This window comes from Homo sapiens, chromosome 9, assembly GCF_000001405.40.
Source record: "Homo sapiens chromosome 9, GRCh38.p14 Primary Assembly".
NCBI classification, from domain to species: Eukaryota; Metazoa; Chordata; class Mammalia; order Primates; family Hominidae; genus Homo; species Homo sapiens.
The window spans coordinates 130,912,232-130,935,335 of NC_000009.12; the positions used below are offsets into that span (position 1 = coordinate 130,912,232).

At 58.9% G+C, this 23,104-nt stretch overlaps 1 protein-coding gene across 4 annotated transcripts in view, besides 10 other annotated features; it reads right to left on the reverse strand.

Moving 5' to 3' along the window:
• Positions 1-23,104, reverse strand: part of FIBCD1 (fibrinogen C domain containing 1) — a 38,270-nt gene that overhangs the window by 9,792 nt on the left and 5,374 nt on the right. For all 4 annotated transcript variants that reach the window (XM_047423989.1, NM_001145106.2, NM_032843.5 and 1 more), the window contains 3 exons: positions 17,336-17,815; positions 12,006-12,165; positions 11,513-11,649 (listed from right to left, as the gene is read on the reverse strand). In XM_047423989.1, the coding sequence (XP_047279945.1) occupies positions 11,513-11,649; positions 12,006-12,165; positions 17,336-17,815 (777 nt within the window). The remainder of the gene's footprint in view (positions 1-11,512; positions 11,650-12,005; positions 12,166-17,335; positions 17,816-23,104) is intronic.
• Positions 2,074-2,766: an enhancer, noted in NCBI's record as "H3K4me1 hESC enhancer chr9:133789692-133790384 (GRCh37/hg19 assembly coordinates)". NCBI's record gives its function as "activates a minimal SCP1, AML or CMV promoter by ChIP-STARR-seq in naive H9 embryonic stem cells {active_cell/tissue: H9 hESC(naive)}" and the evidence as "EXISTENCE:reporter gene assay evidence [ECO:0000049][PMID:30033119]".
• Positions 6,668-7,208: an enhancer, noted in NCBI's record as "H3K27ac-H3K4me1 hESC enhancer chr9:133794286-133794826 (GRCh37/hg19 assembly coordinates)". NCBI's record gives its function as "activates a minimal SCP1, AML or CMV promoter by ChIP-STARR-seq in naive H9 embryonic stem cells {active_cell/tissue: H9 hESC(naive)}" and the evidence as "EXISTENCE:reporter gene assay evidence [ECO:0000049][PMID:30033119]".
• Positions 9,243-10,192: an enhancer, noted in NCBI's record as "H3K4me1 hESC enhancer chr9:133796861-133797810 (GRCh37/hg19 assembly coordinates)". NCBI's record gives its function as "activates a minimal SCP1, AML or CMV promoter by ChIP-STARR-seq in naive H9 embryonic stem cells {active_cell/tissue: H9 hESC(naive)}" and the evidence as "EXISTENCE:reporter gene assay evidence [ECO:0000049][PMID:30033119]".
• Positions 10,412-10,595: a silencer, noted in NCBI's record as "fragment chr9:133798030-133798213 (GRCh37/hg19 assembly coordinates)". NCBI's record gives its function as "represses an EF-1alpha promoter that drives an FKBP-Casp9 reporter gene in an ReSE screen in K562 erythroleukemia cells {active_cell/tissue: K562}" and the evidence as "EXISTENCE:reporter gene assay evidence [ECO:0000049][PMID:32094911]".
• Positions 11,143-12,090: an enhancer, noted in NCBI's record as "H3K27ac-H3K4me1 hESC enhancer chr9:133798761-133799708 (GRCh37/hg19 assembly coordinates)". NCBI's record gives its function as "activates a minimal SCP1, AML or CMV promoter by ChIP-STARR-seq in naive H9 embryonic stem cells {active_cell/tissue: H9 hESC(naive)}" and the evidence as "EXISTENCE:reporter gene assay evidence [ECO:0000049][PMID:30033119]".
• Positions 11,486-11,666: a silencer, noted in NCBI's record as "fragment chr9:133799104-133799284 (GRCh37/hg19 assembly coordinates)". NCBI's record gives its function as "represses an EF-1alpha promoter that drives an FKBP-Casp9 reporter gene in an ReSE screen in HepG2 liver carcinoma cells {active_cell/tissue: HepG2}" and the evidence as "EXISTENCE:reporter gene assay evidence [ECO:0000049][PMID:32094911]".
• Positions 13,965-14,014: an enhancer, noted in NCBI's record as "active region_29165". NCBI's record gives its function as "activates an Ori minimal core promoter by ATAC-STARR-seq in GM12878 lymphoblastoid cells {active_cell/tissue: GM12878}" and the evidence as "EXISTENCE:reporter gene assay evidence [ECO:0000049][PMID:35858748]".
• Positions 17,501-18,045: an enhancer, noted in NCBI's record as "H3K27ac-H3K4me1 hESC enhancer chr9:133805119-133805663 (GRCh37/hg19 assembly coordinates)". NCBI's record gives its function as "activates a minimal SCP1, AML or CMV promoter by ChIP-STARR-seq in primed H9 embryonic stem cells {active_cell/tissue: H9 hESC(primed)}" and the evidence as "EXISTENCE:reporter gene assay evidence [ECO:0000049][PMID:30033119]".
• Positions 19,172-19,221: an enhancer, noted in NCBI's record as "active region_29166". NCBI's record gives its function as "activates an Ori minimal core promoter by ATAC-STARR-seq in GM12878 lymphoblastoid cells {active_cell/tissue: GM12878}" and the evidence as "EXISTENCE:reporter gene assay evidence [ECO:0000049][PMID:35858748]".
• Positions 19,622-19,751: an enhancer, noted in NCBI's record as "active region_29167". NCBI's record gives its function as "activates an Ori minimal core promoter by ATAC-STARR-seq in GM12878 lymphoblastoid cells {active_cell/tissue: GM12878}" and the evidence as "EXISTENCE:reporter gene assay evidence [ECO:0000049][PMID:35858748]".

Sequence of the window (23,104 nt, forward strand, 5' to 3'; positions counted from 1 at the left end):
CCCATCTTTACAAAAAATTTAAAAATTAGCCAGGTGTGATGGTGGATGCCTGTAATCCTAGCTACTTGAGAGGCTGAGGCAGAAGGATCCCTTGAGCCCGGGAGGTTAAAGCTGCAGTGAGCTATGATCGTGCCACTGTACTCCAGCCTGGGCTCTCTCTCAAAAAAAAAAAAAAAAAAAAAAAAGTGGGGTGGGCCGGGCACGGTGACTCCCGCCTGTAATCCCAGAACTTTGGGAGGCCGAGGTGGGTGGATCACCTGAGGTCAGGAGTTCGAGACCAGCCTGGTCAACGTGGGGAAACCCCGTCTCTACTGAAAATATAAAAATTAGCCAGGCTTGGTGGCATGCACCTGTAATCCCAGCTACTGGGGAGGCTGAGGCAGGAGAATCGCTTGATCCCGGGAGGCGCAGGTTGCAGTGAGCCGAGATCATGCCACTACACTCCAGCCTGGGTGATAGAGCAAAACTGTCTGAAAAAAAAAAAAGGGAATCTCGGTGGGGTGGAGGAAAGCCGGCTTTGGGGGCATCTCCAGCACTTTGCTCTGGGCTTCGGTTTCCCCAATGGTCAAAGAAAGGGGGGGCAGAGTCTTAATCTTTTTCCAGGTCAAAACAAAACTGACCAAGTCTATCCTCCAGTTTTTAAGAACCAAGAGCACCCCCCACACACCCCAGGCTTGGCCTCCAGAGCCCTGTCCCTCAATAAGCTCCCCTTCCCCAAAACAAGCCTGGGGCAGGGGTCGGGGTGCTGGGAAACCGGAGTCCAGGCGATGGCTCAGGGGAGGACGAGGAGCCCACAGTCAGCGGGGTGTGACTTGGGTACCAACGAGCGCCTGGGCTGCCTCTGTTGTTCATTTTAATAACATTCTTGATTTGGGAGTCAGGAATCCCATCGGTTAAATTGCTTTGAAATGAGTACCACGCTGGCCCGGGCCAGAGCTGCCTGGAGTATTTACAGGATCCGCTGACAATCCGTCCCAGCCGGCCTCCCCAGCCCTCCCAGCCCTCTTTCTGTTTAACAAGCTTTATTCTCCTTTATTCTCCCTGCTTTATTCTCCGAGGCAGCGCCCGCGGCCCGGCCGGCCTCCATCTGTGTCAGAGTCTGATGTGTTAGAGATCTGGCTGCGGCACCGGCGAGCTGCCAGTTTCATTACTAAGCAGCCTGATTTCAGTCGCTCGGAACTGCCCGGATGCCCGGTCTGACCCGAGGCGTCTGCCGCGTGAGCGTTTGCCAATGCTCTGAGCCCTGCTCTGAGCCCTCGGGGACGTGTCCGTCACGGCGTTTGGGCAGCTCTGACGTCAGGGAGCTGGAGGGAGATGACACCTCCTTTTTCGTGCTTTGCTACCTCAAACCTGGCCCAGCTCTGAAATCTGAAAGTCCTCAGGAGTGACCGGCTCGGGGTGGAAGGAAATTCGATCAGGCTCAGGGAGATCTGAGGAGCGGTGGAGAGCCGTATTGATGGCCGCATATTGGGACCCTGAGCACGCACCTTTTCAAAGGCCTAATCCTAGCAGAAGCTCAGGCACTCCCCTGAGAAGGCAGCGGGCAGTAGGAGCCTGTTTCCGCAGGAGGAGGGGAGCTAGAGGGACCGGCAGGCCCGAAGCCCCCTGGGATGCCTGGCTGGCATTGGCCGTCGGCTGGGCCTCTGCCCTGGGGACTGGGGACCTGGGCATGCTCAGTGGTGAAGGAGTTCCTGAAGGCAGGGGAGCCCAGTGGTTGTGGATCTGGGTTCCAGGGCCCCAGCTTTGCCTTAGAGAGCCCTGGCAAGTCCCCACACCTCTCCAGGCCCCAGCACCCACGTCTGTAAAGCAGAGATCACAGCCACGCCTTCCTCCCAGGCTATGACCATCCACCGAGAATAAGCTCAGGCCTGGCACATAGTAGGTGTTCAGCAAGTGCCAGCTGGGTGGCTAGCCACAGCACTGAGGCCCAGGCCTGGGCGAGGGCTCCTGCCTCCTCTGCTCCTCTCCCAGACTCTGGCCTCCACCCTCCCCCAGCCCTCCCGAGGGGTCTGTCCCAGCCTCTCATTCACACAGATGTTCCACCGAGCATCTCCTGCCAGGCACCAGCTGCAAAAGCCAAGTCAGTGGATACGAGGTCACGGTTCTGCCCTTGGGGACCTTAGGGCAAAGGAACAGAGGAGACACCCGTGCTCAGGGGACCCCAACCGTGCAAGAGGCAGGACAGACTTGGAGGTTGGGGAGAGAACAGGTCTGCCCAGCAGGGTGGCCCTGGAGGAGGGGCAGGGTCCTGGGCCCTGTGTCAGCCTGCTGGGCGGGGCAGAAAATGCAGGGAAGTAGGCCACAGTGCGGGTAGTGGGGAGACCCCAGCAGCCAGTGGGCGTGCCCAACCAGGGGCAGGTGAGCTGATGTACAGGTGCCCAGCTGTGCCTCTTCCTAAAGGCTCAGAGGAACCATCCAGAATGAGAGCAAGAAGCCCCGGTAGCCCAGACCACAGCCTCCGAGAGGATCCCCCAGGCTCTGCCTCCAGCGCTCACTCCCACCACTGGGACGCCTGGAACCAATGCTGCCATTTACGTAACTCGCCAGACCCCAGCCCTGCCCTGACTCTTCAGGATGTGGCAGGAGGGGCTGTTCCTGCCCCTGCGTCCCAGCTGATGGGATGATGGGCAGTCGAGACTCAGCTCGGGGGCTGCGTGCTCTCTGCGTGCCCATGTCCCTCCCCAAACCCTTTCCCCGAGCCCAGGCACCCCACCCTTACAGGGCCGAAGCTCGGACACTGGCCAGCGGCCAGGCGGCCGTGAGCAGCAAAAAGCGGGGGCCGACTACATCTTGTGCCCTCAGTCCCACGACAGTCTGGACCTACCCTTGCCACCAGCGCCTGAAGGCTAATGTCCTGACACCATGTCCACACTCGTGCTTGGTGGCAGGTCCACTGACCAGGATGGCTGTAGCCTTGAGTGTGCCCCTCTACCCAGGCTTCTGGTGCCAAGAGCTGGTCCCTGCACCCACAGTCCTCAGCCCCCTCTTTCCCACTGCCCTCTCAGTCTGGGTGCCAGTTACAGTGACCCCACCATCCCCCAGGGCTCCTCCTTGGTGCCGATCAATTGGGGTGAGCACACCTGGCCCCCTGCCTTTGCCTCTGCCCAAGGAAGGACACTGAAACCACATACGGCCGGCACTCCTGTCCAGGTAGCCCGAATCAACGCCCACTTAGAAACTGCAGCAATTGGCCAGGAGCGGTGGCTCACGCCTGTAACCCCAGCACTTTGGGAGGCCGAGGCAGGCAGATCTCCTGAGGTCAGGAGTTCGAGACCAGCCTGGCCAACACGGTGAAACCCCGTCTCTACTAAAAATACAAAAATTAGCCGGGCATAGTGGCAGGTGCCTGTAGTCCCAGCTACTTGGGAGGCTGAGGCAGGATAATCACTTGAACCCAGGAGGCGTGGTTGCAGTGAGCCGAGATCGCGCCACTGCACTCCAACCTGAGTGATAAGAGCGAGACTCTGTCTCAAAAAAATAAAAAAATAAACTGCAGCAACTGTCGGCCAACGTGGGCACTTTTAACGTGTGCAGTGACGGATTGCGGACCTGCTCTTAAGGCGCCAAGACACATCTGTGGTCTGGCCTTGAAGAAGTGACCTGCAGACTGACCATGTCCCAGAGAGATGCAGCCGACGTCACCACACAGGCACACGCATCCAGACTCCAGACTTAGCTTAATGCAGAAGGACGTGCATAGATATTTTCTTTTTTCTTTTGACACAGAGTGTTACTCTGTCACCCAGGCAGTGCGGTGGCACGATCTCAGCTCACTGCAACCTCTGCCTCCCAGGTTCAAGCAATTCTCTGCCTCAGCCTCCTGAGTAGCTGGGATTACAGGCACCTGCCACCATGCCCGGCTAAGTTTTTTGTATTTTTAGTAGAGACGGGCTTTCACGATCTTGGCCAGGATGGTCTTGAACACCTGACCTTGTGATCCACCCACCTTGGCCTCCCAAAGTGCTGGGATTATAGGCGTGAGCCACCGCGCCCAGCCTTAGTGCACTGATATTTTCTATCATGTTCTATTCCACTCTATTTGATTGAAAAAATAATGTTGATCAAACCCATTCAGTTGATTTTGCCAGTGACCCACGGAGTACGCCCGCAGTTTGGGAACCACTGACAGCCTTTGCCACGGGCTGTCCTGATTTCTTGGTTCACACCCCAAGTGACTGCCTGTGCCGGGCCCTGTGCTAGGATCTCGGGCTTGGAAACCCTGCCCCGACCTCGAGCCAATGACAGCCCAACGTGGCCTGACTAGTGCAAGTGCCGAGCACGGCCCAGATCGTCAGGTGGGTCCTCCCAGCTTCCCGTGTGGGGGAATGTTTAGTCTGACTCTGAGCCCAGGATAAACTGCAGCTGTGGCTTTGTATTTCTGGCAAACAGCTTCAGCGACACTGGACCTTGGTGACGCCAGATGCCTGGATGTGGCCAAGCACAGAGGGCTTTAATTACACAGCGAGGACCAGTGGGATGGGAGGACAGAGGGAGGAAGTAAGGAAAGGATCCAGGCGTCCACTTCCCCTTCTTTCTGCCCCACCCACCGAACGTGAATCCCCACTAGGCAAAAAGGGGTGGGGAGTCTGGGCGCGGTGGCCCACGCCTGTAATCCCAGCACTTTGGGAGGCTGAGGCAGGCACATCACTTGAGGTCAGGAGTTCGAGACCAGTCTGGCTAATATGGTGAAACCCCATCTCTACTAAAAATACAAAAATTAGCTGGGTGTGGTGGCAGGCGCCTTTAATCCCAGCTACTCGGGAGGCTGAGGCAGGAGAATCACTTGAACCTGGGAGGCAGAGGTTGCAGCGAGCCAAGATCACACCACTGCACTCCAGCCTGGGCAACAGAGTGAGACCTCGTCTTAAAACAAAACAAAACAAAATGGAGGCGGGGAGCAAAAGGTAGGGAAACAAAAATTACTGATTCATTTTCAGGCCAAAATATGAATTGGTCCAGCTCCGGGGGGGCGTCTCTCTTGGGTCCCGGCTGGAAAACGATTGAGTAGAAACACTCGCCGCAGCCGCAGCCTCTTGGGCAGATGCCACGAGTGGGAAGACAGACAGAGAGTGTTTTCTTGGTGCGGATTCTCAGAAGCCCGCCGCCCGGCGCACCTTGGAAGTGCCGCTTAGAGGGGCTCTGCCAAGGGAGAGCTGGGCCCACATGGTCCTGCAGATGGTGCTGGGCGGGTTCAAAGGAAGGAGTGACGGCTCTGGACATGGAGGAAGGAGTGACAGCTCTGGACGCGGAGGAAGGAAGACAGCAGCAGCCACCGACGGCCCTGTGTTGTCAGATGGGGCCTGGGGACCGAGGGAGGCGGAGATGCCTCTGGGCCGCTGCAGCCTTACACTCCGCAGGTTGCATCCCGCCCAGGGCTGCCTCTGCAGACAGACCCTGACCAACCAGCTGCTGCTTTGCCACTGTGCCCAGAACATGCAGCTAGCGTCCTGAGCACTGAGCTGGGCTCTGTGGTCACCCTAGCACCCGGCCAGTGCCGTAGAGGATGACCACGGCCTTCCCCGCCACAGCCCTGGAGGGACGACTGGTGCTCCCATTAGGCAGATGAGAAGACTGAGGCTTGGAGGAGTGGGCAACCCAGGTGCGCAGGGCTGAGATGGCCAGAGGAGTGGGGATGAGAGTGCACGCTCAGTCCCAGGGAGCTCCCTGGGCTGGCACCCAGGAGACCTGAGTTCTACCCAGACTCCAGCCAACAGGATACGTGGCTTCTCCCCTGCAAAACAAGGGCTCCTGCACAGCACCCCGTGTGTGCTCGGGGCTCACAGGGATGACCTTGGCCCTCAAAGCTCACAGCCCCATGAGAGACGACGCACAAGCCAGCAGCCATAGGGCAGAGCAGCTCCCACCCTGGCACATTCCTCCAAACCCCAGGCTTCAGTTTCCTCATCTGTAAAGCTAGGATTATAAAAGCCTCAACCCACAAAGTTTTGATGAGAATTAAATGTGCTGGTGCACAGCATTCAACAGAGCTTGCTGGGAACCCTGAGAAGGAGTGAGTCCCTCTGCTGGGGCAGTTGGAGGTGGTTATCTGGGAGGGCTCCCTGGAGGAGGACATGCCTGGCTGAATGGAACATTAAGCAGAGCCTTGCCAGCTGGGCAGAGGAGCTGAAACCCAAGGAATGGGGGGTGGGTGGGTCCAAACCCTATGAGACTGGGAGAGAGGGTCTCCGATGCCTTAGAACGGCCCCCTGGAAGCAGCAACTGCGGTTTTTCCTAGACTGTGATGAAACTGCTGCAGAAACCAGTTACAGACAGGACTGTCTTGGTTGTGGAGCTGTGGCCTCTCCCAGCCTCCCGGGCTTTCTGATCAGGTGATTCTGGGAGGGGGGCAGAGGGGTCCTGGCAGAGGAGGATGCATGTTTTTAAAGAACAAAGAACTTGGATGTGTGAGCTACGGCAGCCCTTCAAAGGCAGCCCTGGGGCGGCTCTGCGGCATTCCCAGGAGTCTGGCTTTCCCTTAACTCCTTTCTGGACACCTCTGGGCAGTGCCCCCAGGGAGGCCTCTGGGCTCAGTCAGGAACAAGGCAGAGCTGAGTTCAAATCCTGACTACCTCTCACAGGCCACGTGACCTCGGACAGGTTGCAGAACCTTTCTGAGTCTGTTTCTCTCTGCATAAGCCCGCGCAGGGCCGGTGGGGAAGAGGCAATCAAGTCAATGCGTAAACGGACGGCGCACAGTAGGCCTAACCAACATCACCACCCTCCCTGCAGAGCCAGCTGCTGAGCCCAGAAGGAAATCGGACCCACTCCTTGTTTTTGACTGAAAACGGTACCCCCAGGCTTGGCGCCCTGCCGTCATTCCCAGGCTTGGCAGTCGGCGCCTGCCGGCTCTTGGCACAGCACTGCCAAGCTGCCGTTTCTCGGGTGCTGAGCCACGGCGGGCGCGGGGCTGGGCCCTGCACGTGCATTGTCCTGTTTCTGTTCAAAGTTTGAAAAACCCAAACTGCTCCCCACGGAGGCACGCTTTCTTTGCACGATGAACGAAGGAAATGTGAGGGTGTTGTCCCCGGTCACCGGTCACCTCGCCATTATGAATGTGTGTGTGCTCTGAGGACCATTCCCCAGGCAGGGTGTGGGCCAGGCAGTAGCGTGGGGACACTGTGGCCCACCAATGTCACAGCAGATCCCCTGCCACCACTGCCTCTGGGACAAGGAGGGCCGGCCGCAGCTGCAGCCCAAGTAGGAAGGAGCTAACATCTCATCTGTTGGACCCCGAGGTCCTGCTGCTCAGCCTCCCCGGCACAGGGGTCCAGGCTGGCACCTGGGGAGGCCCCAGGAGCTCTTCATCCCTCCCTGAGCCTGAGCCTGCTGTTGGGCTCCTCTGACGTTCTCCATGTGAGGGCAGGATTTTCCTCCCGGCCTAAAGAGCTCAGGTGGGGGGATGTGGGGGCTCCTTTCCAGGGGAGCCAATTACAGGCAGATGTGAACTGGCTGACCTCGCACAAAGGAAGCACCTGGCGGAGAACAGGGCTGCAAAGAACAGGGTTTGGGCCACTTGGCACCGTGGTGTTGGGGGACGTTGGCTGTGCCTGGGAGCGGAGCAGGTAGGTATGGGGTCCTATCATGGCCACTCCAAGTCCCTGCTGAAGGACATGTTGATCTGGACCTCACGTGTGTGACCCCAGCCAGTGACTATGCAATGTTGAGGGCTTGGCAGTCAGGCCTGGGGGGCAGCACTGCCCCCGGCAGATTGCAGTGGGGACAAGACTGTGCGGCAGGGCAGGGAGGCTGGGTGGGGGCGGGGAGCCCAGGCACTGAGGCTGAGCAGGGGCCCTCCTTCCGCCCACCTGCAGGTTCTGGGCACAGCCAGCCCATTCCCCAGGCCCTGAAAGGCAGGCAAGAGGGCCGCCCCACTGGACAGATGAGCAAGGGGCCCTCCAAGAAGGGACGTGACCCTGGCATCTCACACAGCCAGGGGCGCTGGGGGTGGGGGCTGTGGGCTGGCAATGGCTGGCTTCATCCCACTCGGCACCTTCTGAATAAGGACATCTGGCCTTTCTTTTTACCACTCCGCCTCCCCTTGATTATAAGATGCTACAAGGCAGAGCCAGATCCTGTGTTCACAGGGAACCCCCAGGGCTCAGCACTGACTCCCTCCCAGCCCCGCTCCCCGCTCACTCCTCACAGATGAGCAGCCTGTGAAGGGTTCTGACTTGTCCCCATCTGCAGAGCGGCTCTATATGGTACCCATTTTACAGATGAGAAAAGCGAGACTTAACAGAGGTAAAGCTACACAGCCAAAGGGTGCCAACAGCCATCATCTGGCAAGCATTTAGAGAGTGCCGAGGGTGTGCAGGTGCGGTGCCCACCCTGAGCTAACATGGCCACAGGAGGGTGTGGTCCCTGCCCCTGGGACTCCTGACACGGAAGGGCAGGACCTGTGATGGGGGTGATGATGGGGCCTGAGGACCACCTGCCGCCTCCCCTGCCGCCAAACCTCCTTAAACCAGATAGGCCAGTAGCACCAAGCCACCGTGGCCCCCAAACAAGCCATACCGTCTCCCTGCCCCTCACTCCTCCCACCCCCTACACTGGAACAGGGGTCTGTCCTCTGGGCCCTGGGGCTCCCCATCCCTGGCACAAGTCGGCTTCCTTGTCCTTCTGTCCACCAGGCTGGGAGCCCGCTGAGCTGTCTCGTCGCTGCTGACCTCCCTGACCCCGGCTTGCTTTAGGCATTCAAGGTTTGAACACAAGAATGAGCGTGTGCCACTGTGGGAGGCCTGGAGGCTGCTGGGTGACCTCGGGCACATCCCTGGCCTTCTCTGAGGCTGCCCTGCCTGCCTCCAGGGATTGAAGGGCGCTGGCGTGATGCCGGGGGTGGGGGGCAGGGGTGTATGAACTGTAAAGTGGCCCTGGGGACAGGCTGCTGAGTTGCACCCTTGCCCACACAGGTCCCTCCGGGAAGCAGGCTCTGGTGAGACTGTCCAGCCCCAGGGTCTCGGGGCACAGTTCCAGGTGCCCTGTCCTCCAGGAAGGATCAGGTGGCATTGGCGCTGAAGGCCTAGCAGTTCGGACAGGGAGTCTAATGAGGATGGATGGTATCCAGGGCTGGAGAGGTGGCAGCCAGCTCCTTCCCAAACAAAAACTGAGTTTCTGACGGATTCCATGTGGCGGGGGGTGATCCTGACAGATGTCGAGAGGTTCCTGGGAAAAGATTGCTTCTGATGGAGGCCCAAATGGATATTAATGCTCACTGGCCAGGCAAGCACTTCTCAGATGAGAATGGCCTCTCTCCCAGGGCCCCCGGAACCGGGTGTCTGAGCGCCAGGGCTGGCGGGGATTTCCTCATCGACTCCCCTCTAATCGCCCCTGAAGCTGAGTCCGTCGGAATGACCGGCCTCCCAGCCCAAATCCTGATTGACTTCCCGGGAGATTGGCTTCATGTCCACCAGAGTGGAAGACGCATGGCCCGCTCCGGCGTCCTGATCTTTCATTAAGCCTGTCCTGACCCTGAACTCTGATTTCTGGGTTCGGCTGGTGCCTCCTCACTGTTCCGCCCGCCAAGGGGTTCCCAGAAGCAAATGCCATAACTCAGACGTTCTTGGCGTTAGGAAAACAAAAGAGCTTTTATCCCCCAGACGCAGCTCCAGTACATTTTTAAAAGCTCTCCTCTGGAGCTTGAAGACAGGTTTAGAGATGTGTCTGTCTTTGGGGTCTTGTGGGGATTCTCATCTGCGCACGCTGACTCCTAACATAGCAGGCTCTGCCTTGCTGGCGGACTCGTCCCTCCACCGGCCGCCTGTGCGGGCCTCCCCGCGTCCTGCCTCTGCTGGGGACCGCTGACCCCTTTCAAAACTGACCCAGGCTGCCTGCACCCCTGCCTCCCCCAAAAACTCCCCGCCAAGAGGCTTCCCTCTCTCCTGTTTCTCGGTCACTTGTTTTGTCTGATGTTAAGCCCTTCCCCCAGATGTTTGTGGGCCTGGACATCAATACACCAAAAATAGTCAGCACCAAGATCCCAGGCGAGATGCGTCCCGCACTCAGTGGCAGCAGCCCTGGGGCGGTGGGGTTCTCACCGGCCCACCCCCGGGCCTGGTCTGGGGTCTCTGTTCCTGGCTAAGCAGGCCTGACTGGCATCGCCGGCCTCCCAGTCTCTCTCCAGCACACTTCTTCTCAGCTGAGCCCCCCACTTTCTTGTGCTTGCAGTTAAGAGGTCTAAGGATGTAGGTGGGCATCCCCGTTTCACAGCTGAGGAAACGGGGGCTCAGAGAACCGAGGTAAGTTGCCCCAGGTCACACAGCAGGACTCAGAGCCATGCCTGGGGCAGCCTGTGGATGACAGGGCCAGAGCGTGGAACCTCCAGGCTCCCCGCCTCTCTGACATCTGCTGTCGGGGTCCCATCATAGACCTGTGGACTGAACGGTCGAAACACCTCCTCCCCGTCCCTCTCCCCACTGCCCAAGGATGCACACCGCCAAGTCACCTCTCCTGAAGCACAGTCCCCATCCCGTCTTCCTCTCTTCAACACCCCCAGTAGCTCCCGACTGTGTGTCCCAACCCTGCAGCCTGGGGCTGGAACACTCCAGCCTCATCTCATCACGCACCACAAATCCCTCGGGCCCTGCTCCTCAGATGTTCCCTGGTAGCCGCGTTAGGTTGCCCCCTCCTCCTGGAATACCTTCTCCTTCCTGCCCGCACTCAGAAATCCTCCCTGCTTTAATGGCTCATGAGAAATGCCCCCTTCTCCAGGAAGCTTTACCCTCCCCTCTGCTACAGTGACTTCTTCCGCCCCCAATGCCCCCTGGCGTGTAAATTCCTCGGGAGGACTGGGACAGGGGCTTCTCCATCTCTGTGCTTCCCCGGAACCCAGTATACAGTAGGTGCTCAAAAATGTCTGTCCAACTGAAATGAAATGTGAAGCTGAGAAGCCTTAAAGAGCCAGTCCTCCTGGTCTTCAAAGCAGGGCGTCTGCCCCATTCTCCCAGCACCTTCTGTGGTCCCGCCCCTGCCCTGTGACTGGCAGTTGGGGCATCTCGCTCCTGTTTCCCACCCAGGCAGGAACCAGGAGGTGCAGGAATCAGACAGCACTTGTCAGCCCATAGCTGTGGGGGGTCTCTGCTCCTCCAGCCACACTCCTCCTTTTTCTTCTGCACACGCGCCGTGTATTGGGTAGTTCAAAAAGCCGGGCGCCCACACACATCAGCCCTGGAACCCACGTTAGCAACAGGTTCCTGCTGCCATGTGTCGTCCTAGGCCCAAACCCCGCCCCACCCCCTGCTGGAAGAGCCACAGCTGGGGATCTCAGGGAGCCCAAGGTGGCTCCTGCCTAATGTCCGCTCCAGAGTGGGTACCCCAGGGTCAGCTCACAGAGTCCCCTGTTCCCCTCTTCTGTAGGGGTGGGGTCAGGCCAGGCAGAAGGGCACCAGGGCAGGGCCAGTCCACAGATCCATGGTGGAGGGCTGGGTAGGAAGCTGCTCGGAATGCCCGGGTTCAGGTACACAGCCTCACGGTCCCCGGTGCCTGCCCTGCCGCCCGCCCAGCCTGGGACACTCACCGTCCAGCCGCCGCCGTCCGTGCGCATGTCACAGTACACCTGGAAGCCGGCCGGGTAGTGGGTGGGAAAGACAGAGTAGACGCCATCGTCCTGCTGTCCGCTTAGGAGGACGTCCAGACAGTCTCGGGGCCGGGAGCCTGAGGGAGGCAAGGCTGTCAGGGTGGCTGCGGCCCCAGCACGTTCCTGCCCAGCCCCCTGGCCAAACTGTCTGTCCATCGATAATGCATGTGGGGTCCCATGGGGTTGAGAGAGCACTGGCCTTGGAGTCCGACCTTGGCTCTGCCACTCCCTGCTGTGGCTGGGTGAGAGAATCACCCTCTCTGGGACTTACTCTCCTCATCTGGAGAATGGACCGAGAGGGCTTCAGCGCAGGCCACATGGAAGTAGGGTCGGGCCCTGGAGTCTCATGGCTGGGGAACCCTCACCCCAACTTCCCCGCTCCCCAGAGCTGGGACCCGAGGCACCGGAGGAAGGCAGGCCCTGCCCCACTCACCAGTGGCACAGCCCCGGGGCCGGGTTCCCCGGGCAGGCGCTCTCTGAAGGTCGGCCTTGTTGCGGGGCCGGCCCAGCCCCCGGTCCCTCTGCAGGGCATCCAGGATGTCGCTGACGGAGTTCACCAGGTGAGCCATGTGGCCCTGGCTCTCAGAGAGAAGCTGCGGAGCACAGGGGGTGAGCCGAGGGGGCAGGGGCTCTGTTGGGGGTGGGGTGGCGCACATAGCAGGTCACTGGCCAGAGTGGGCCCTCTCCTGAGGCAGAGGTGGGCTTCTGGCTCAAGGCCCCGCCCTGCCCTGCCCCTTGGGTCCCTGTCCAAGGTGGTCTGAGGGGCCAGCCAGGCTATGATGGAGCCTGTGCTCTGGGGCCTCGAGGGCTGGGAGGGCCGGGGAGCAGGCGGGAGGGGAAGGAGGCTCCAGCAGGCACCTGCCACCCCTGCTGCCCCAGGCTGCGTTCTTCGGCCATCTCTTCGGCCCAGGGAAGAGTAAACTGGAGGAGGCCGTGCCAGGTGGGGAGAGAGTGCCCCGTGTTGGGCAAATCCAGCTGGAGCCCAACACGTCCACTTGCCGGTTATATGACTAGGGGCGAATGTCCTCACCACGCCTCGTCTCCCCTGGCCTGGCCAAACTGCTATGGGGACCAGTGACAACACATGGGAGGTGCCCAGCACAGCGGCAAGGACCGGCCGGGTACTCAGCACACCAAGTTCCCACAGCACCTTCCAGGCTACCAGACATCCCCACCGCTGCCTCTTCCGATCCCGAGCAAGGCTGCTGAGGTAGGAGTGATTGATCTGCACTTGACAGAGGGGTGCCCTGAGGCTGGGGAGGCCACAGGAGCCTTTGCGCAGCCCCTCAGGCTTCTGGACCAACAAGGCTCCCCCGTCCCACCCCCACTCCCCATGCAAACATCACTCTGAGTTTCTGGGGCTCTCCGATGTCCATGACCTCACTGGGTCCCCCACCACGCTGCAAAGAGGGAGGACTTCAGGTTGTCATCTCTTGTGACAAATGGAGAAACTGAGGCCCCGAAAGAGCAATCCCTGAGAGCGAAGGATGGCACTGGGGGCAGGGACCAGGACTCAGGCCACTTCCCTAGGGCGGGCTGGCAGGAAAGGGGCCCGGGGCTGTGTTCTTGTGTAGGAGACCAGGGTCAGGGTGGGGACGGGGCGGTGGTTTGGACCCAGGTTCTGGTGTTGACTGTCTGTGTTTTGACTCCAGTCCCTCCCCCGTTCACTAGCTGCGTGACCCCGGAACAGTGTCCGAATCTCTCCACGTCTCCATTTCCTTGTAACCCAGGATAATGAGCCCTGTTTCTCTGAGCGGGGGGATTCAGGAGAGCCTGGGCTGGGGAGCTCAGCCGTTGTTCTCCATCCTTCACCCCCGCCCCTCCCTCCAACACAGCCCTGGGGTTGGAGCTTGGCAAGCGCAATGCTGTCCCCCAGCGCCTCTGCCTGTGTTGAGTGCCTGAAGGGTCTGAGGTCTCTTGCCCCCACCCTGGGCTTCAGGAGGCTGCAGGACCACGTGGAGGGTGAGGGGGTAGTGGGCAAGCTATAGCTGGCCAGCCAGTGAGCATGGAGCCGGCCGGGTCTTTATACACCTAACATGTCACTTGCCAGATAATAGCCCATTCGTGGAAGGAAAATAGAAATATACAGTGCCGGCAGTTTACAAAATATGATTCCCGGCTCGTCCAGAGGCAGGGGCCCTGCAAAGCTTTTAGTTTCCCTGTCAGTTTCCCCTCTGCTGAGCAGGTGATTCAGTGAGGGCTGAGGCCAGGGGAGAGAGGAGCAGAGATGGGCAGGCAGGGCGTTTGGGTTTCACGGCAGCATCCTGTAGACGAGCTCCACTGGGCACGCCCCACAGAGGGACACAGGCAGCACACCCCAACCGGGGCAGGAGGGAAGACGGTAGGTGGGGGCCGCCGTGCGATGTGTGTGCGGCAAACATCACTTGGTTAAGTCACACTGGTACTGCCCATTTATCTGAGTCAACACGGCCACAACGCACTAAAAAAAACTCAGGCACGGCCTCCTCCCTCTTGCTAACGGGCAGGGAAGACCTCTGTTTAAACCAGCAGATGATTAAAGTTGAAAATGTACATATAAACATGCCCCGAATTAATGGGGAAGTGAGTCCCTGCTTGCCGAGCTGCAGAGGCGCATCAGGGGAGGGCTGGACAGCGCTTAGCGGTAGTGGTGTCAGAGCTGCTGTCCCCGGCACTGCTTAGCTGTGTGAGTGAGCTTGCACACGCACCTGTCACTCAGAGCCTCAGTCTGCCTCTCCATAAAATGGGATAACAAGGCCGGGTGTGGTGGCTCACGCCTGTAATCCCAGCACTTTGGGAGGCCAAGTTGGGTGGATCACCTAAGGTCAGGAGTTTGAGACCAGCCTGGCCAACATGGTGAAACTCTGTGTCTACTAAAAATACAAAAAAATTAGCCGGGCGTGGTGGCGGGCGCCTGTAGTCCCAGCTACTCAGGAGGCTGAGGCAGGAGAATCGCTTGAACCTGGGAGGCGGAGGTTGCAGTGAGCCGAGATTGAACCACTGCACTCCAGCTGGGTGACAGAGCGAGACAACCGTGTCTCAAAAAATAAATAAATGAATTAAAATAAAATAAAATGGGATAACAAATGTACTAACCTCCTGGCGTTATGGGGCTGCAAAGTGCCTATTAACGCGGAGCCCAGCACATGGTATAGGCCTATCACTCCTACCAGAAAAGGGATTTTCGGCCCAACACAGTAATCTTAGCACGTGGGGAGGCCGAGGTGGGTGGATTGCTTGAGGCCAGGAGTTTGAGACCAGCCTGAGCACCATAGCAAGACCTCTCTACAAAAAAATTTTAATCAAAAAAATTAGCTAGACATGGTGGTGCACACTTGTAGTGACTGCTACTTAGAAGGCTGAGGTGGGAGGATTGTCTGAGCCCAGGAGGTGGAGGTTGCAGTAAGCCCTGATTGTGCCACTGCTCTCTAGCATGGGTGACGGAGTAAGACTGTCTCGAAAAAAAAAAAAGAAAAAAGAAAAGGGAGTTTTCAATAGTGGCATGGTGGCTCCCTATAGGTTTAAATTTCAGCTCACAAACAATTTCTACTATAATAATAAGGAGACGTTGATGGTGCAGACCATGAGTATCCCCCACGTGACAGAGCCAGCCAAGCCCTGTAGCCAGGCGCTCCAATATCCCCTCAGCATAGACTGTGTTATGCACATCTCACGGGTGACAAGACCCAGCCCAGAGAGGGGAAGCAACCTGCCCGGCATCCCACAGCTGGCACAGATGGGGCCTGGACTGGATCCCAGCTCTGCGGACTCACACCCTCAGGGCAGAATGGCTCAGCTCAGCCGTGACCAGCAGGCCTCAGGGACTACACATGAGAATCAACCCCGGCTGGGGGGCTGCAGGGGGTTGGGGATGAGGCCCAGGAACTTGCCTTTTCCTTTTTTTGAGACAGAGTCTCGCTCTGTTGCTCAGGCTGGAGTGCAGTGGCGTGATCTCGGCTCACTGCAACCTCTGCCTTCCGGGTTCGAGCAATTTCCCTGCCTCAGCCTCCTGAGTAGCTGGGATTACAGGCGCCCGCCTGGCTAATTTTTGTATTTTTAGTCGAGACGGGGTTTCACCATGTTGGCCAGGCTGGTTTTGAACTCCTGACCTCAAGTGATCTGCCCGCCTCGGCTTCCCAAAGTGCTGGGATTACAGCATGAGCCACTGCACCTGGCCGGGAAGCTGCCTTTTAACAAGCACCTCTGGCGATTCCAACCCAGGCTGCCTGTAGGCACAGCTTTGAGAAACCCACATCTGTGCTGATCAGCTGAGGGTCTGGGAAGCTTGGAAGGGAGGAGTTAGGAGCACGGCTCGCTGCCTCTGAATGAAACATAAAGACCCACTGTCTCTTGAATCATCCAGTCTGTGGGGAATGAGTCAAATCAAACATTTTTGGGGAAGTAAATATGTCAGGTGAGCTGGCACTCCTGGGCCCAGAAAGGCTGTTAGTCTTGTGGGAATACTCTGTACCTCTGCGCAGGCTATTGGGAGGGCAGGACTCTGGGGTCCCTCCTTCTAAATACCCCACCCCAGCTCTAAGGGTGGGCCTTCATGAACTGGGCCTGAGCTGACCAGGGGCTGAGCAATTTGGAGTGAGGTGGGGGTCCCAGGTCAGCCAGAAAGTCAGGAGGTACCCCCAGCCCCCAGCCCTGCTGATGAGGCCTGGGGAAGTTGCACATGGAGGGGCAGCTGGAAGGCGGTCTAAACATCCCTCTACCCCGGGAGGGGGAAGCCACCTTCCCATCAGTCACCCAGACAGGGTGATGAGGACTGTAATTTCTCCAGCTGCTGCCTTCAAAGGGAGGGAAAGGGCCCATTGCTCATGAGCAGCTGAGTGACCAAATGCCTGGATCTCTCAGTGGCTGCTGGGGGCGGTGGGGCGGAAGGGGCTTGGGCGCCCGTGGGGGCAGGGGCTTGGCTCCTAGCCTCCAGGGATCTGAGTCACCGGGAGAACGTGGCACAGGGCCAGGGGCCGGGCAGGGCTCCAGCAGGGGCTGGATTCCAGGTCTGACCTGGCCACGGCACCCAGGAAAAATCACCACCCATTTCTAGGCCACCATTTTCTGTCTTGGAAAATGGTGGAGGCAGATGAGACGATCCCAAATCCCTCATCCTATGAAGGAGGAACTTCTTGTGGGTGGTGCTTCCAGCATGGTCTCAGAGCCGAAGCTGGAAAGCCTTCACCCAGACCCACCTGGAGCTGGCTGGAGCCTGGCTTGGCTGGGGGCAGGGGTGGGGAGGGTGGAGGTGGTTTGGGACAGGCTAGGGGTCTGGCTGGGCTGCCTGGACTGGTCTCTCTGTCCCTGGGAAGCTGTGGGTATTGCATGGTGTGAACTGGGAGGGGGTATGGAGAGATGGGGTGCGGCTCTGAGGGGGTAGCACTGATCAGCCACATGCCCTTCAGCAAGTCGCATCCCCTCTCTGAGCCTCGATTTGCTCCTGATGGGGGAATGCCCTGCCTCACCTGTACCCTGGAGCACTGGGGAAGCCCCAAGCCCTGGATTTACTGAGTGCCAAGTGCCGTGGGGTGCTGTACAGTTTACCGGGTCACCGGGAAAGAAACAGGATTTGAATCCTGGCTCCCAGTAGCTGTGCGGCCCTGGATGAGTGACTGCGCCTCCCTGAGCTTCATGGGCTTGTCTGTAGATGGGAACAGCAGTAGCCCCTTGTCTGGGGCCTTGGGGATTAAGTGAGGCCATGGACATCAGGCGCCTGGCACATGGCAGCAGCAGCACCAACCCCTCGCCTCCAGCAAGACCCCAAGATGCAGACCCCAGCCCTACCTGGATGAGGCGGCCCTGCTCACTCTGCAGGGCGCTGAGGCCCTGGCCCAGCGTGCCATGCCCCTTCCGCAGCCCCATGCACTCCGTCTGCAGCTCTGAGGCTCGGGCCAGCAGCCGGGGCAGCTGGTCGGCCAGCGTGTCCAGCAGCTCCTGCTCCTGGTCGCCCACCAGCCGTGGCTGGGCCTGGTGCTCTGTCAGCGCCTGCAGCACCGAGGCCTGGGCGCTCTCCAGGCGTGCGAAGCTGTCGGTGAGGTCGGGGCAGCGCGGGTCAATGAGGATGCTGAGGTGCGAGCTGTCCGCCCTTTCCACAGTGACCAGGGCGCTGTTGGCGCTGGCAGCCCCAGTGCTGACGACAGGTGGGGGCGCCGTGCCCGGCGCGTGGGCGTGGTTCAGGAAGAGCACGGCACCGGTGACAGCTACAGCCAGCAGCACAGCCAGGGCCAGCAGCACGGTGCACAGCACGTAGCCGCAGCTCGGCCGCTGCAGGCCCGCCCGGGACGCACAGACACAGACAGACAGACGGGAGAGAGAAGGGGCCAGCATTAGAGGCATACCTGGGGTCAGAGGACCCCCTTCTTGGGGGGCTGGGCAAGGGCGTGGCACAGAGACTGAGATGAGACAGGCACTGAGAGACAGTCCAAGGGGAGACAGAGAGACAGGGACAGCCACAGATGCAGTGAGAGGGACACAGTGAGCGCCTCAGGGAGAAAGTGGAGAGAGACAGAGCCCCAGAGGGGAGGTGGAGACATAGGGAGAGACGGGGAGACGCGGGGAGACGCAGGGAGATGCAGGGAGACACAGGGAGACGCAGGGAGATGCGGGGAGACATGGGGAGATGCGGGGAGACGCGGGGAGACACGGGGAGACATGGGGAGATGCGGGGAGACGCAGGGAGACGCGGGGAGATGCAGGGAGATGGAGACGGACAGGATGGGAAATAGAAACTGAGGCAGAAAGACACAAAGACACAAGCAGAATGCCAAGCCTTCCCTCTCGCTGCCCCTGCCACCCACCTCCCCCCATGCCCTGCACAGTGACAGCCCAGGGACCCACGGTCACCTGTGTGTGTGGCCGTGTGGCCCCCGTGGAGCCCACACCACCCAGTAAGGGCTGGAGGTGGAGATCCCACCTCTGCAGCCAGACGGGACAGGGCTCAGGCCTCTAAGCTGCATTTCCCACAGTGTGACCTTGGGCCAGGGGCCTCACCTCTCTGAGCCTCAGTTTCCTCGCCTGTAAAACAGAGCAATATAGAGACACCCACCTCTCTATACACTGGTCAGAGAGAGCTGTGATGCAACAGCAGCGATGCTATAGATGGTCTCGTGCTGTCTCTGGGAACGAGTGCCCTGGGGTAGCGGGCACCCATCACGGAAGGTCCCTTCCAACTGCAGCAGCCACATCCCGTGTTCTGTCCTGCTGTTCTCCAGTCCCCAGGGCACATGGGGGCTCCTAGGCACCTCCTCCCCGCACCCCACCCCATCCTCTCTCCTTCCTCTATCTCTTCACAGAGCAGGCCCCTGGCAGAGCAAATGCCAACCCGCTGGGCCAGGTAGCCCTAAGGCCACCCTGGAGAAGAGGCCTGCTGCCCTCCAAGGAGGAGGGGGGCTGAGGCAACAGGTGGCTGTCACTCCAGAACAAGCCATATCTCAAAACCAGGAACGGGACCCGGCGAGGTAGCTCACGCCTGTAAGCCCAGCACTTGGGAGGCCGAGGCGGGCAGATCACAAGGTCAGGAGATCGAGACCATCCTGGCCAACAAGGTGAAACCCCATCTCTACTAAAAATACAAAAATTAGCTGGGCATGGTGGCACATGCCTGTAAATCCCAGCTACTCGGGAGGCTGAGGCACGAGAATTCCTTGAACTTGGGAGGTGGAGGTTACAGTGAGCCAAGACCATGACACTGAACTCTAGCCTGGAGACAGAGCTAGACTCCGTCTCAAAAAAACAAAAAACAAAAAACAAAAAACAAAAACGGAAACGAAGGGCAGGCGCGATAAAAAACTGTGTTGGCCAGAAGCCAGGACCAAGGAACAGCTTGTGGTGAGCGGAGGTGCCAGAGCGTGGCCGCACACGCTCTCGGAGGCCCAGATTCACTGGGCAGACTCGCTCATGGCCCCTGAGCATTACACACAAGGGAAAACTGAGGCCCAGAGAGGGCAAGGGGCTCTCCCAGAATCACACTGCAAATAAAAGCAGAACTGGGATTAGGCCCCGAGCCTCCTGCCTTCCTCTCTGGGCCAGGCCCCTCCTATGATTGAATTTCCTCAACTCTCAGACACATTTTCCCCACCTTTTCAACTTTCCGAATTTGAGACTTGTCTTGAAATGACTTCGTATATTAAAGCACTTGGAGCCGTGCCTGGCACGTTGTGCTGGCACAGTAAATATTAGTGGCTTTCATTATCCCATGATCAATGTGCACACAGCATCTGGAGGACATTTTTTTCCACCCAAAGTGTTATTTCTGTGTGTCGTCAATGCTGGGACGCATGTTCTCTTTTTTTCACGTTTTAGCATCTCCAACATGGGGGGACATCTTACAATCGTAATTGACAGCTTGCTTGCTTTCTTAGTGATACATTGAACAGAGACAGATGCCTCTTACATCATTGTGTCTTACTACCTAGAAGATGAGGCAGAGGAAAGAATCATTTTTGTAAATTCAAATTCCACAAGGACCTGCCGGATGACCTACTTGGCACCCGAAGAGGACGGGGTGGAGGGGACATGCGCCTGGACATGCAGACCCCCGGGAAAGAGATCTGCTTTGTTGTCAGGATGCGGAAGAGAGTTTCTTGGCCTGTCCCTATTGTCATGCGGCTGCCAGGACTCAGTGCTCCACGCCTGCCCAGTTCTCTTGGGGGCCGCGTCCATTCCGGGCTCCACGCATCAAGACAATTTACTCCAGCCAGACCCAAATGCACAGTTCCCCTCCACCAGCTCTGCACAAACTGCTCCCTTGGCCAGCCAGAAGCATCTGCTTCCCCTCCTCCTTTTCCACTGGCCTAATGTATTCTCTTCTTTCAGGGCTCAGCTAGCTGTCACTTCCTCCAGGAAGCCTTCCTTGACTGTTTCTACTCCACTCCCCCCAGCTTGGAGGGGCTCCTCCTCTGTGCTCCCCCCGTTAGGGTGCTTACAAGACAGATTGTTGTGGCCTTTGACTTCTTTTACTCACTCATTCATTCAACTGCCTCTGTGCCAGGGCCGCTAACTGGGCCGTTCTATGATTTCCTTCCCTGCCTAAAGTATGGCTGGGTTTGATATACAAAGCTCTGTGTCAGCAGCCAAGTCCCTGTCATGCACTCTTCTGGAGCCCGTCGGGAGACACCTTGCCCCGAGCAGCTCAGGGCTGCATCATCAGACTGTGTAGCATTAAGGTCCCCTGGCGGGCGAGGCTGGGGCTGGCGTGGCAGAGAGGTCATCCGTCTCCCCTCTGCAACTCCCACACCCCTGCCCTATCTTGCACCCTCCTCCCACCCAAGCCCCTCCCTGGTGGGAAGGCAGAGGGCACCGAAATGGGGAGGGGCTCGAGGAAGCCGCAGGGGGTCCCCTAGAGGCAGGGGGACAGCGGAGCTTGGAGATGAAACAGGGCACTCAGCAGAGGAGAATTAGTCTTCAGAGATCACCTTAAAGATGAAGTACTGTTCGCTTTTATGGGCTGCCGTTTACGTGCCTTGCGAAGAAATCTGCCCGAGATAACAAGGGGGGCTCTGGGCGCTGAGCAGCCCAACTGGTATGCCTGAGGCTGGAGCTGATTCATCCGTCCTGGTGTGGCTGAGCTGGGTGCACTCCCTGGGGGCTGCGGAATGGGGAGGATGCACACAGAGCCCCCAGCTCCCAAGACAGGGCATCTCGGGCAAGTGAGCAGGAGAGAGACCGGGGCCTGAGCCGGGAGCCCTGGGTTCAAAGCCCACTTCTGCCACTGACCACTCGCATGAGCTTCCAGCTGGAGGGACCCAGCTTGGTTCCTCGAGTGACCCCCAGTGCCCACCCAGGGTTCACGGCTGCCTACGAAGCCTTGGCCAAAAGGAGGATAAAGCTCATGCCAGCAGGGCGGCAGGCAGCCCCCGGTGGTGTCTCAGTTACAGGGTGACCTCTGTCCAGGCTACCTTCTCTGAGACCCCAGCCTTGGGGGTTCTGGGGAAGCGGCGGGCGGGTGGGGGGGGGGCGGCTCAGGAGGAAGGGATTTGATGCCAAGGCGCTCTGCTAAGCTGGCACACCTCCCTTCCTCCTCACTTCCTAAGAGAGCTGGCTGGCAGGAGTCCCCTGGGGAGACTGGGACCACACTCCACAGATGAAAGGAGGAAGAAGAAAGTTTCCCTCCGGGGGAGGCCAGGCCAGGTTAGACCCAGGTGAGTGCCCCTCCTGCCGCCCACCCCCATCTCCTAAGAGCACCCAGCCCAACGCAGGCAGCTGTTCTGCATGACAAAAACACATCCTGGGGCTTTGCACTGGGAAATGGAAAGCTGAAGGTGGCGGGGTCCTGTGGGCTCTGGATCCAGCAGAGGCTTGCACAGAGCCTGGGCAGGGGGCTTATGGGCTCTGTGGGTTGAGGGGACTGGGCCCTGCCTCAGGCCAGAGCCTCAGGGGAATTCCTCCTGTCTCCCCAGGAGCCCACTCTGCTCCCGGCTGGCACATGGCTGGGCACATGGCTCCCAGTAAGGGCTGAACTCTGAGCCCTGGCCCTGGCAGAGGGAGGGTCCCAGAGACTCCCCTGGGGGTGAAGGGTTGGTGGCTCTGCTCACCATTCTGGGGTCCCAAAGACTTAGGAAGGGGGTCTGCAGGCTTGTTCTGTGAGATCTGAGCGGGAACCGCCATACCGCTGGGGACCCTTCAGCAGAACCCTGCCGAGGGCCATCTGGCGTCTCAGGCCACAGGGAGGGGCGCAGGAGGGGCTGAAGGTGTCCAAGGGGACAAGAGCGCCCCACAGAGCTCCCAGCCTCTGCCCCTCCGGGAGGTTCCAAGCCCCCCAGCTGTCTCACTTCCTGGGAGCATTTGCTCTGAACCACGGAGGGGGCTTCTCCAGATGTTTCCTATAAGGGTCTTGCCCACCCTCCCCGCGACATACAGCTCTGGCCTCCCAGAGGGCCCACTGGGGCCTCAAGCCCACTGAGGCCCAAACCAGCGTCTCTCCACCCCAAACCTGAGCCCTCCTATTTTTCACTCGGGGATGGCACCAACCCTACCTGTTGCCCCCACAAAGCTGGCACCTCCTCAGGTCTCCCTCCCTCACCCAACATCTGGATAGTCACCTGCTCCTGTCCATTCTACCTCCTCAGCCACACCACTCCCCAGCTAAACAGTGAGCTCAGAAGGAGGGGCTTGGGAAACCCCAAGCCTAGCACAGTGACCTCAACCCAAACCCCAGGGAACAAGAAGAAAGAGGCATGGATCTTCCAGAACCCATGATGGTTTGCAATCGCCCCGACCTGTGAGTTTGTTCCCCCCGTGAGACTCTAAGCTCCCTGAGGCACAGACTGTATCCACCAGACTATACCTCCTAGCATTAGGTAGGGCCTCCCTAAATAGTCACTGAGTAAATTTAATGCAGCAGGGATTTAGGTTAGACATCAGGAAGAACTTCCCAAAGAGATTTTCTTTCTTCCTTTCTGAAATGTTCTTAGAAATTTTGAAAGCGTCAAGAGATCTTGCCTGGGATGGGTTGGAAGTTGACCTCCCTGTAGGGTGGCTTGGAGACAGCTCAGAAACAAGCCCCTCTGACCAGAGGAAACGGTTGCAGAGTGACTTCCTGCCCCAAGCTCCAAG